Raw genomic sequence first — 13,209 nt, 5'->3', positions numbered from 1 at the left:
TACAAAACAAAGACTAAATGCCACATGAAATAGTTTTAAGGAATAAGATTTTCAAGTTTTCTTAGCACATTTGTGGGCTGCCTTTTTTTTTGTTGTTGTTGTTTGTTTTGGTTAGTTGCTAGTACACATTAGAAGCCATTTGATACTAGAAGCCAAAGTCTTAAGAAAATATTAACCAGGCATAAAGTTGAAAACTGATGGCATTGTACCTATTAACTTATGTTTTTTATGCAAAATAAGAAACCACTCATCATTATTCTGTTTGTGAGATGGGATACCTCGGTCTACTGATATTACATAGATTTACAGCAACCACCTTAGATGAAGGTAGAATCTAGCACACACTTCATGTAAACACAGCATTTATTCAGCCTTATAAAAATATTCAGAATTTTAGATACATGAATCCTCTGAAAAAACCACAGTATTGTTTTATTTGCTCATCTGTTCCCTCCGGTCTTCTTGGGTAAGCAGGTTACCTTAACCCCCTTTCAGTTCCAGTTTCCTCATTTGTGAAATAGGACTACTAAATAACTATCAGGCTTTTGGTGAAAACCAACTGGGGAAATTACGTGAGCCAGTAAGCAAATGGCTGGTCATAATAAGTACTCAAGAAATATTAGTTCTCTTCCACCTTTATGTAGCTTGTCTTTGTCATATAATCAAGGTAGTGCATCCTCATGGAACATTTAATATCTACAGATGTGTGTCTGTGCTTGTCCTTCCACCACCACCACCACCAGCAGAATCACATACAGAGTTCTTATCCTCTCTTCTGTTTGCCTGTCTCTGATTATCTTCACCCCTGTTAGGGTGTCTGTTGCTTTCTTCTCTTGTTTTTGCCCTTCATCTCTCTTTTCAAACCCCTCACCCTTTGAAATCCCTTTTGTTCAGAACGCTTTCTTTTCAATTTCTCTTCTCTTCCTTCTTTTACCACCTGTTTGCCTGCTGGGGCACATCCTGGCCCTTTCTCCCGTACAATTCAGCCTGAGGCGTCAATGACCCATTCCACTCCATTGGATTGCTTGATTTGCTCATCAAAATATCGCAGCTCAAAGGTTTCTCTTCATTATATTACTCCATGCTCTCTGCAGAGCAACTGCTGTTTCACTGAAAAATCGCACACACACTCTTAAACTTTAGCTGAAAAGTGCACAGATCTTAAGTCTGTAGCTCAATGAATTATTACAAAACAAATACACCTGTGTAACTATCACTCATGTCAGGAAATACAATATTGCCAGTACTCTAGAAGCCCTTTGTGCTCCTCCTGGTCTCTTTCTTCGTCCTCCAGGAATCAGTCACTCTCCTGACTGCTAAACACTTTAGATAGTTCTACTTGTTTTTGAACTTTACACGTGTCCATATACATTGAAAGCATGCATTCGTTTGTGTCTGCCATGACACACTCAGCATCATGTTTGTAAAATTCATTCATGTTGTATGTAGTTTGTTCATTTGTATTGTACCATAGTATTCTGTTGTATGAACAGGTATTGTATTTTATAATCATATGCCACAACTTTAAAAAATCTATTCTACTGCTGATACAGATTTAGCTTGTTTCCAGTTTGAGAAATTCAGGAAGTAATACTGTGAGAATTGGTGTGTGTGTGTGTGCACGTGTGTTTGTGTGTGTACGCGCATTTTAAAATTAAACTTCTGGTTTTGTGTCCTTCTGAATGTTTTAAGTTTCTTGGCGTCTAATCCAGATGTTTGAGGCTTTTCTGTATTCTTTTTATGTTCCAGGCTATTCTCTTAAAAGATAAACTATTTATTTTTTATGTATTATGCTACTTGTATAGTATATTTTGAGTTTTGGAATGTTGGAGAATACAGAATGAAAAATTTGTAAATAAAACATATGTATATATAAGTGCATATATTTATGGTAAACATTATATATTTAATAAACCTATTACATACCATATGATGTTCATGTATAAAACATACATAATCATCCAAATATACAAACATGCAAATTCATTTTACTGATTATGGTACTCTTATTATAGAATTATCACTATATAGAGAATGTGCCACTTTTTAATGAACTTTCCTCTGTGTAATCAGTCTACAGATATTTTTGATGTGTAAAGTTACACAGACATTTATGGAATCTAAATCAAACCAACATGGCTGTGATTTACCATTTTAAAAAATAAATTCAGTAGTTCTTATGTCTCACGACTTGTACATTTCTTGATCTGTGCCCATGGACCTAGAGCTATGATATCTGATTCTTTTTTCAGCCGAAATAAGGAGAAAATTAATGCCTTGATTCCTTGGATGTCGTGATTTGGTTTGTTATTATGTTGTTGAGACAACTTTAGCATTTTTCTAGCTGTTAGTTTCCTGAGCCTATTTAATATCAAGAGATTCAGACTTTCCTTGAAGACAAAAGCAATATATAGAAATTTCTAAGTGTGTCAACATCCATCCATCCATCCATCCATCCATCCATCCATCCATCCATCCATGCATCTAATAAGAACGAGTGCCTTCTGTGTCATAGGCCTGTCACTGTGAGGAAGGGCATGTTAGTATCACTTGGCTTTTTAAAAACTTGCATGTCCCTTGTGCCAATATGCTATTATACTTTATTCCTCTGCAATAGTCACCATCATAGTCTGCTAGTGCTGATGATGGAAATGAGCCTCAGATGTGTTGCACCTGGAAAAAACTTGAGATCACTGATGAGATGTAGCTATTTATATATATTGAATTATTTTATATCAATATTTTGATTAGTATCACATATATGAATGGATAGCTGTTAATATTTTGAATTAACAACAATGATAATATAAATCATAATATATTTTCTGGTTTGAAGAGTTTCACAGTCTAGAGGGGTAGCCTAAAACATAAACACATAATTCTGTGTGAAGTGGCAGGTACCTTGAGAGAAGATATGCACAAGGTGCCACATGACAGTGGAGAAGACTAAGTTTTGCTTGTGAAAATTGTAGAGGGCTTTGTAGAAGTGAATCCATTTTAGAGGCATGTAGTTTGGTAATGTTGGTGATGTGTTAGGCATTATGAGGCAGATTCGAAAGTTAGGATAATCTGGTACTCTGTGAGAATATTGGGAAGATTGTATATTCATTCACTTGACGTAACTATAGAGGCAGACAAATATGTTTGATAGCAGCCTTTGTAACATGGCGTCTTGTAGATTGTGTTCTCTTGTAAGTTTCTTAAAATGTTATCACTTTTTGCATTGGTTAACTGTTGTTAAAGTGATTATGAGAAATGCATTGGGAAACCAAGTGGTCTTTAGATTCCTTCAGACCCAACTTGTTCATGTGCTAGGTCTGCACCTAGACAAGCGATTTAACTTCTCCATGTCTTAGCTGCATTATCTGTAAAGTGTGAATGATAATAGTACTTAAAGGATTGTTCATCCAAATTAAAATCAAATGAGATAATGCACTCTTGGCACAGTTCCTGGCTCATATAATAAGAACATGAAATATTTTTTATTAGCTAGAAATTCAGGTTAGAATATGTATCAACACTGAAGATCATAGGCCTTAAAAAAACCTACCTCTGACTTTTGGTTTCTTTCAACATTCAATTAAATTCTGAAAGAACTATTTGTAAAACACCTGAACCTGGAATTATATATGTGTATTTCCCTTACTCTGTTATGATAGGGGTCCACAACAAGATTGATGGAGAAACTAATAATTGGGGTGCAGATGGTGAAAATCTTTTCTAAAGGTGTGTGTGTGTGTATGGCTCTGTGTATGTTTAGATAGATTCTTAAGTTTATACTGAATTTGAAAGTGAAGATTGACGAGATTGCCTATACAAAATACTTAACAAGTGAGCTAATTTCTGCCCGAATTCTGTAGTCTTACTCCTGTATGTCACATCACTATTCTTCCTCTCATATGTGAATGTGTAAAATAGAGGCTGTGTGGGATGGGTCCAGAAGGAACTTGTGGTCATCCTCTCAGGCTTGAATCTCACCACTCTATCTGGCTTTGTGTTTACAATTAATTTAAGTTTAATTACCTGTTTCAGTTTTACTTTGACATCTACCTAACCTATTTTTTGCTTTATTTCTTTCTTTCTGATCTTTTGTTTTAATCTTTGGGGGTAAAATAATGCAATAATGATAAAACAAAATTCAAAAGCCTGTAAAGCTATGGGATCTGCTTGGGATTTTCAAGGGTGAGATAGGGTCTATAATAGACATGTGTTTACTGATTGTGACCCCAGGCATTGGTTTTCTGTCCTTCATTGTTAGGATAGGTGGATCTGGGGACACAGACTGAGTGGAGTGGAGAAGAAAGGATTTATTAATAATCAGGGAGGAGCATGTGGGATAGATCTGAGGTATCTGCAAGCATTTGAGAACTACTGATTGTAACTATATGAACTGAAGATGGCTCAGTGCAATCCTGGGTCTTTCCACATTCCATATTTAATTAAAGGCCTTTGCCATATCTTGGTTCCTGGCTCAATTTTAGTCAGATAAAATTTAAGTTATTATAAAATAATAACAAATTTGGCATATAAGGTTTTAAACTGATCACGGTAGCTGGACAGCATTAGCAACAATAGTTGAAAAAATAGAGCTTCTTTATGCAGTGATATCTGTATAATCTATTTAGCTCAAAGATAACATTGAGTTTATATCCACGTATGTTTATGAATGTGTAATTTGGACACCTGGGATTTTATTGTATGTAGATGTTTTATCCGTTCCCTTTTTAAAATCCAATGTTCTATCTGTAATGCTCTGCCACTACACATTCTTTCAAAAAAATTCTGATTCTAAATCTTTAATGATGATATGCCTCAATCTTCTTTTAACATAGATAGCTCTTCTGGAAAAAAAACAAAAAAACAAAAACAAATCCTTCAAAACAGCCCTCTTCATAACAAAACATCTTAGTCTTTTTGCCAAGTTAGTGAAGGAATACTGGTTTTTTTTGTTTTTTGTTTTTTGTTTTTTTCCTTAACTACGCGTGCTTTAAAATCTCAGTTAAATTTCTTCCTTGAGCATTACTTTCTTAGAGTGGCCTTTCCCACTGTGTTCATCAGAACATTAGTTTTGTTGGCTAAATGGCACTATGTGACATAAAGCCAAATGAGATTGGGAAATTTCAGTCTAGATTGGACACACGTCACCCTCTCCAATCCCTAGGACTTCTTAGAGCTGTAAACGCTAATGTACATTGTGGATCTCTGGGAGGGATATGTATTATACAGTTTCCATTAAACTTAATCTGACCAAGGAATCTCCTTTCATTTTCTTTTTTTGAAGCTAATATTATGGGAAGAGTCTAGAGACAAGTCTTGGGTTTCTTGTCATCTATGCTTAAACAGTTACCGTATTAAAATCCCAGGCAGAGCTTAGCTAAACTTGCAGTGAGCATGGCAGAATGTTCTGAAATACCATAATATTTTTTCAGAAAAGGTTCTTATAGTTGAAGCTTTCTAAGCCTGTTACTTATCCAACTCCAAATTATGAACGGATTATATGTTTACTTTTTTTGCCCATATATAAAGCTTTTCATATCCTAGAAGTCAGGAAAAAGTTATTTAATTTTATTATGAGAAGTTGCTTTCAAGTATATATATATTTTAAGATCAGTTTTCTTTGGAACATTTCTCCATACTTAACAAAAGAGAGAAAATGACTCCTGTGTGTGTGTGTGTGTAATTTGTTTTTGTCAGAGGGAAAAATGATGCTAATTAGGTTAAAATAAGGAGTTGGCACTAAATAGGGTGGTAGCTAAACCAAATTTTGTATTTTGTACCAAATTTCTAAATCCCTTTTGTTGCGTGAATGGATTAGCTGGTTCATTGTAATGTTTGTGTTATCTGTTGGATATGTCTATGGTTGTCCTTAGTCCATTGGTTCTCAGATGGGTGCAGGCCATTTAAACTGCTCCCTGTGGTAGAGTAGGAGTGAGCCTAGTGCTTTGTGAGTTGTTTCCTAGTTTCATGAGGAAGAACTATTGCATATGAAGGCACAAAGTTACTTCCCTTCATTTTTAGAGATACACACACATGCACATGCACACATACAGAGTATATTACAGGTATAAGTTCTCAGTATGTCTTCATAACATCTGGTTTTAATCTTATATTAAATTTGGCACTTTTAATACTACTAATAGTAATAAAACTTACTGAATATACTTGGCTTACTGGTGCTGTGAAGACAGCGAGCATTCTAATTGCACTATGTTATCTTTATGGTAAGCATCTATTAGATTCACTATACTGTATATGTGTGTCAGTTTACCAAATGGATTTGCAGTGATTGACACAGATTTATTAAGGGAGAACAAAGAAAGCTGTTAGTTATATTGGTGGATTGAGTTAATAATTGAGATTTTCTTTTCTATTGATTAACAGGTAGGAAAACAGAAAAAAGCAACATTAGTACATAAAAATATTAAACTACCTTTACTATTCAATGATAGTTTTCACCAAATGCTGGCAACATAGTCAAAGACATTCCTACAAAGCACAGCACTCGTTATTTTTGTTATGAGTGAAAATCTAATTTACATATAATAAAATGTCAATTCACATCATAACCATCAAGATAAATAGAAACATTTATACTCTTCGATGAGCTACTCTTTTTGAATTTAAGTGCTGTGCTTGGCTCTTTGCCCAGAGACCAGTTGAAATAGCCTAAGTTTAACAGAGAAGTAGGGATGAAGTTGAAACTGACTTGTGTGCAAATGTAAAGTCAGATTGGCCTATGTGAATCAACAGTTGTCATTGCAGATATTTTAATTGTGTGTGTGTGTGTTTTGAGAGGAAAACAAAAGGAAAAACTACTTTTCTGCAGGGAAACAAATGGTAACATTTCTCAATTTGCACAGTGAAATTATGATCTTATTCCAATCAGGGATTTTAATACATTTGCCTCTCACTGGTTATGAAAGGAAAAATAATCAATTCCCCTTGCCTTTTGAGGCTCCATGAGGTATTCTTGCTCTATTTTAGTTTCCCTAGTTAGTGAAATAGGTGCATTCTTTTTATATATATACATGTGTCCTACAGTGTCATTGTGACTATAGCCTAAAGTCTTTGAAAAAAGAAAGTTTTGTAATTTTCTTATAAAAGTACAGTGGTTAATGCATTTTTTCTTTAACATGTATTTGGATATATGAAGATTCATTTAGGCAAATAGGACATTTATTACTTACTTACCACACTATCTCCTTTTACCTAGACAAGTGCATTTGAAATGAGATATTTAAAATCTAGAGAACATAGCAAGATGAAATAAAAGCCTAATAAAATGTGTTTGGGCTAGCATCAAAACCTTTGAAATAGGATATCTAAATAATGTGCATTTTATCTCAGAGGGCTTTTGGTTAGTTCTAGTGTCCAGATGACTATTAATGGGCTTTTGTGCTCTGAAGCATATGTTAATAGAAATGATCATTTTGGATTAGTTTGATGTGAATTAATAAGAGATTTATTTGGTGGAAGTTGTTTGAAGGTGTTGACATTTAAAACTCAACAAGATTTAAGATGTTCAAAAATAGCTTTAAAAATTTGGGAACAGTCAATTCAGAGAGAGCAAATTAAATAGAAATGGATAGGAAAGAACAGGATCTGACATTGAGTTTACGAAGTTTGAAGCAGTTTATAAAAAAAGCGATCTACCATTGAAGTATTGCCTTGGAATCTGAAGAAATAGAAAACATCTAAACTCCTTCAGTGATTCTTGAGTTTGTGAATTGGATAAACAATGTTCTCTTGCATTTTATAGTTCACTTAAGCAATCTGATTTTGATCTGTATATATGGAGTAGACAGGATTCAAGTGTTTTTTTTTTTTCCCTAAACCAATGAGCAAACACATATGTTCTTTCAAAACTGAACTGTATACATTGTTCATATGGAAGCTATCTAGTTTGCTCTAGGCCCAAGATTTGACCTTCCTTTTATTTTGCTATCACTTGCTTAATTCTTTAAATTCTTTGTGGGGACTTTTGATCAAAAGAAACATTTTTTCTTTCTTTTAAAAGTTTTTTTAAAAATAAAAGCTACATGAAATGTGTAATTAATAACTCAGTACTCTTATGCTGATGTGTATACAAGCAAGCATGGAAGAAAACATACTTTTTAAGGCGAAGACCATCGATGACTTTTCTTTTTGTGTTAAGCTTTGATTTCAAACAGTTGAAAAGTTTTATAAGCTGGAAAAACAAAAAGAAAATGTCATCTGGCATTACATATTATGAAAATAAGAACTGTTACTTATAATTAAAAATTATGCGCAACAAGATTTGAAACTGAGGTCCAATTACAGGATCTTGCCCTCCTGATTTTTTAGAGTCTTGTTCAGAATGTGATGTGTGTGTGTCTGTACATATATATGCACACACATATTTGTTTATGAAATTATATTTAGAAAGATACTCAGAAGTGTCAGTTTTCCTTGAGGAGTTCCTTATAGTCATTTTCTTTGCTTTTTAAGCATATCTTTCTTTCTTAAATTAATGACAAATAATAAAATTAAAGTCATCTTGCTTAGTGTGTTTGGCACATAACTGAGGTTGGATATATTTACTGAATGAATGAATATTGGGGGAAGTGAGAAATTGAGGCAAAGATAGGCTTCGGTGGTATTTAAACCACCCTTGGCGCCGGTGGTTTGCTGTTCTATAGTCTTTCAGTGCAATTGGGCAAACTTTTTAAAGGTAAAATTGAAGTGCTATTAACCGGAACTATTGTAGAGTCACAGAGGTGGGGGAATTTTAGAAATAATTTATTCAAATTCCCTTATTGTACAGGTAAAGATGGAGGCTCAGAGAAGCAAAAGGACTTGCCCTTGATCACACGAGCAGGTGATTTAAATCAGGTGTAGAAACTGGATATGCAATTTCCATACGATTTTTACTCATGTTTTGATTCTTTACTTTGCTTAGGGTCAAGATACTACAAAGAATATAGAATTTATAGAATTTACACCTCTTACCTTCAAAGAGTTTCTCATCTAATGGAAATAAATTTTAGTTCACCTGTGTTGAGCTGATGCGTGATCTAAGCTCTGTTTTTAAATTACTGTGATAGTTGATTTATTTAGTTGAATAATTTATTTGATTATCTATTGCAAGGTTAGTTGGAGTAAATATGTCATTAAATGTATGCATGTATATATTTATATATAATATATGAAATATAACTAAAACACTAGTGGTTAATTTACAGTATCTAGATAATGATAGAAAACTCAAATCCCTTTTGCTGTGAAGGTGCCCTCTTGAGAACATCAGTCAGTCTTTTACAGGAGAAGATTTTTTTTTCTTATGTATTTAAGCACTTTAAATAGTGAGATAAAATAGTTAGAATTATTTTTAAGCTCTAATGCTGATTATTTCTACTGCATAAATCTGTCTAAATTATACGGTAACAGAAATAGTGCACTCCTATTTTTATAAAAGTAAACACATTTTCTAAGAAAGCAAAGCATTTAGATTTGTTTTATTTAGAAGGAAATACGGTTAATTAAGAGTAGAAATTTATGATTTTTACAGATGGAATGTCTTATATCTCAGCAATGAAAATTAATACAAATAGAATATTTTGGGAAAGCTACATATATTTTTAACCTGCCTAAATATCTTGGCGTATAATATGCATTCTCATTATATGGGCTGTTCAGGTGGAGAATAATGTAATGTAGGCCTGCTCACTATTACATAGCCCCAGAGGTCAATTTTTAATCTCACAATTAAATAGAGGACTTAAAATAGCAATTTTGAGCTTTGCTGTTCTCCTTTAAATTCTTTACCTCCTCTTTCTCAACTTCACTTTTAGCCCATCATCTAAAATGGCAATTCATAGTAGACTTACTCTAACGGGCATTTTGAACTTTTCCAGGGGTAAGGTAGACTGCATGAAGGATATTGCTATGTAGTAGGATGATAAAGTTTAAAATAGAGTTGCCAAAACTAATGACTGTGTTCATTGTTGTGATTACGTATTTTAATTGCTTTAAGATTTTCCCTATAAAAGCATTTGCTGGTGTTTACAAATTAAGATCTTTTATCCCCACCCCAATGTAGTTAAGTATTATGGTCATTAGGGTTGAAGGGGTTTTAGAGGTTAAATAATTTCACCAACATCACAGTCTGTTATGAAAATGACTTATGTCCTGTAACCTTTTATATCATGTTCCTCCTTCTCTTGTTGCTTTATTAAAACCCTGGGGAGGGAGAGGATCTTGCTCCAGATTTGCTCATGCTTTTATATCTTTCAGGCAGCCTATGATGCCAGCATATTAATATATTTTAGGTGTGATACATGAAAATATGTTTACATCATTTAGGAAGGAAAATTTTTCTTTTGCTTTGTTTTGCAGATGTACAGATCAGCTCTCAAAATGTCTTCTGTGTCTTCTGAGCGTCTTCTAAGACAATTGCATTAGCCTCCTGCTAGTTGACTAATAGAATTAATAATTGTAAAAAGCACTCTAAAGCCACATGCCTTATGAAGTCAATGCTGGGTATGATTTTACAAGTATGTGATCTATTTTTTCAAGTGAAAATGTTAACTGGAAAAGTTCTTGGCACACAGTAAAACATCGTGCAATCTGTTATTTGTCTTAGAGATAATAACTTGAGGGTGGCTATAGTCTTATGGTATCTAACTTACGACTCGCTAGGGGAGTTTCTTCCACTTAGAAGTATGACAAATGTGCTTATATTTACATAATCTGTCACTCTGAAAAATTACGATGATATAATTCCAGTAAAATTATTTCTTCTATAGCTACTTCAAAGTATAGTCAACTAAATTAAGCACATTTTTTTAAAAAACAGCAACTAAAGAACATGCCCCCGCCCCCACAACACAAAATAAAACCCAAATGACCTTTCAGAGATTTCTTTGAAGTTTTAGCAGTTTAACAGTCTTTGCAATGTATATTATTAAGGGCTCTATTCAGCATAAGGAGTCATGAGTCATAAGTGTTCTAAGTATCTGTTCTTGGGTAGAAGAAGGAACTGAAATTTTAGAAAGATGATAATTTAATTAAGTCATATTTTCTCCCAGCCACTAAAGATGCTGGTTGAGTAGTCTTTAAACTATGACCCATTATATCTCTTCAATGTAACAATAAATCAACTAGAGCTAAAGCTTCTTTTTGTTTTGAAAAATAAGTTAATTTTTAAAATACTAATGTATTTAGATCTATTCACTTTTAAGTATTTTATCTTGGTTCCCTTGCTATTTAAAATGTTGCCATTTTCCTAATCGCTCACCCTGGCGTTAACATATGGGCATAAACCATTTTCTCATCATTTTGATGGAAGGCTAACCTTAATGAATTAGATTATTTCTTCCTCATTTCTTTGTGAGTCCTGTCTTTTGATATAGGATTTTTATCTTTTTTGTGTGTGTAACCTTATTCATTTCATTTAGGTGATTCAGTGTTAAGTTCTAGTCATCTTAAGAAGAAACTGTTAAAATAGAAATGATATAGTTATTCAGTAAGGGAAGATTATATTGTAATAGTTAGTGAAGACATTATGTGTAATGGAAAAAATTAACAATCAGGAAATTCTGGAGGGAAAGGTAAGAGAAGTTGTATCAAACCTTCACAATTTTATGTGTAGGAATGTTTGATTACAACCTAAAATATCCTTTTCTGTAGACCAAGTTAAAACCATGCATATTTTGCTCAACCTTATATTTTAAATGATAACTAATTTTTTCAGTTTGCTCATTTAGTCTTTCTTTCCCTGTTTTCCCTTTATTGACTACTAGTAAAATTGCCCTTCGGTTTTCTGCATATTTTCACACATTCCCAGGGCTTCTTTAGTCACTTCTGACAAAAGAATACAGGACTCCTAAAAGGTTGACATAACACATAAGACATTGAAATGCAAACATTAAAAAAAAATAGTTTACCAGTGTTTCCTTTTTTAACAGTGGTTATCAAGTTTTGTTAATTTTAGGGCCTAATAGAATGACACCAAGATGGGAAGCTCATATTCCCCTTCTTTCCTCCAGAAGTCAGTCAGGTTTACATTGCCTCAACGCCAACACTTTCACTTGAAACTTCACTCTTCCATCCTATATATGTAATTTTGTTCCAAGAGGGAGCTTTTATAGGTATTTGGCGAATAACATTATTGATGTGTAAGAAGAACAGTGTACTTTCTTTCTTTTTGTTTTTGTTTTTGCTTTTGTTTTTTTTTTTGAGATGGAGTTTCACTCTTGTCGCCCAGGCTGGAGTGCAATGGCATGATCTTGGCTCACTGCAACCTCCGCTTCCTGGGTTCAAGCAGTTCTCCTGCCTCAGCCTCCCTAGTAGCTGGGATTACAGGCATGCACCACCACACCCAGCTAATTTTTGTATTTTTTTTGTAGAGATGGAATTTCGCCATGTTGGTCAGCTGGTCTTGAACTCCTGACCTCAGGTGATCCACCCGCCGTGGCCTCCCAAAGTGCTGGGATTACAGGCGTGAGCCCCTGTGCTTGGCCCAGTGTACTTTCTTAAGTACCATTATGCTATTTTTCACATTATTCACTGTGGCACATTTTTACTTTATAAATGATTCCTTATACTCTAGTGCACTATCCTTGTTCAGTGATTCATATAAAAATTTTGCATGACCAGCTTTTCAGAAGCAAAGGTACACTTGTCTATCCAAAGCCAGTGTGGTACTTCAGTACTTGTGAGAAATTATAGATGAAAATGACTAAACCTCATGTTATTAATTTAGATTTTCTCAGCATGTTTTGGATAATTGCGGTATAACTAACTGTTAGTCCTTATGGCGAAGTCAACTAACAAAGAAGTCTTGTTTAATCAGAATGTCACAGGTGGAATTTTCCAAGAGACATTTGGGGTGATGACTTACACAGCACTCGACAGCTTTTTAAGCTGAGTGATTAAGAAACAGCAGCCACGGAACCCAGTCCTCGACCAGCCTTTGTTAATGCATTCTTTAATTGACACTACACAAATTGTTTCTTAGTTTATTTTATATTCTTAAAGTTCTGACTCATTCTACTCCAGCAGAAGAATTTGTTCCAGTATTCTTCTTTTGACCCCAGTCACTGATGTCACTAACTTAACTTGAGAGACATGGTTGAGCTAATGTGTAAAGGTGAACCATAGCAAACTGCTAATATTTTGCTGTTTTGAACTACACAAGGACAATGTCATATGGTTCAGCTTAATCTTCTTTCTTAGTCAGTTTCCAGT

At 34.0% G+C, this 13,209-nt stretch overlaps 1 protein-coding gene across 4 annotated transcripts in view; it reads left to right on the top strand.

Annotated features, from left to right (window-relative positions):
- The window catches only part of TRPS1 (transcriptional repressor GATA binding 1), a 260,480-nt gene that overhangs the window by 34,861 nt on the left and 212,410 nt on the right, over positions 1–13,209 (top strand). Inside the window, exon 2 of one of the 4 annotated variants that reach the window (NM_001282903.3) lies at positions 10,357–10,500. The exons of 2 other annotated variants lie outside the window; for them this stretch is intronic. In NM_001282903.3, coding sequence (NP_001269832.1) covers positions 10,485–10,500 — 16 coding nt within the window. In that variant the 5' untranslated portion in view covers positions 10,357–10,484. Of the gene's footprint in view, positions 1–10,356; positions 10,515–13,209 lie in introns of all 4 variants that reach the window. One more of the 4 variants, NM_014112.5, reaches the window with a different exon arrangement.

Source organism: Homo sapiens, chromosome 8, assembly GCF_000001405.40.
Source record: "Homo sapiens chromosome 8, GRCh38.p14 Primary Assembly".
Classification (NCBI taxonomy): Eukaryota; Metazoa; Chordata; class Mammalia; order Primates; family Hominidae; genus Homo; species Homo sapiens.
The sequence above is the reverse complement of the archived record's forward strand: the minus strand, read 5'-3'. Positions and strand labels throughout refer to the sequence as shown.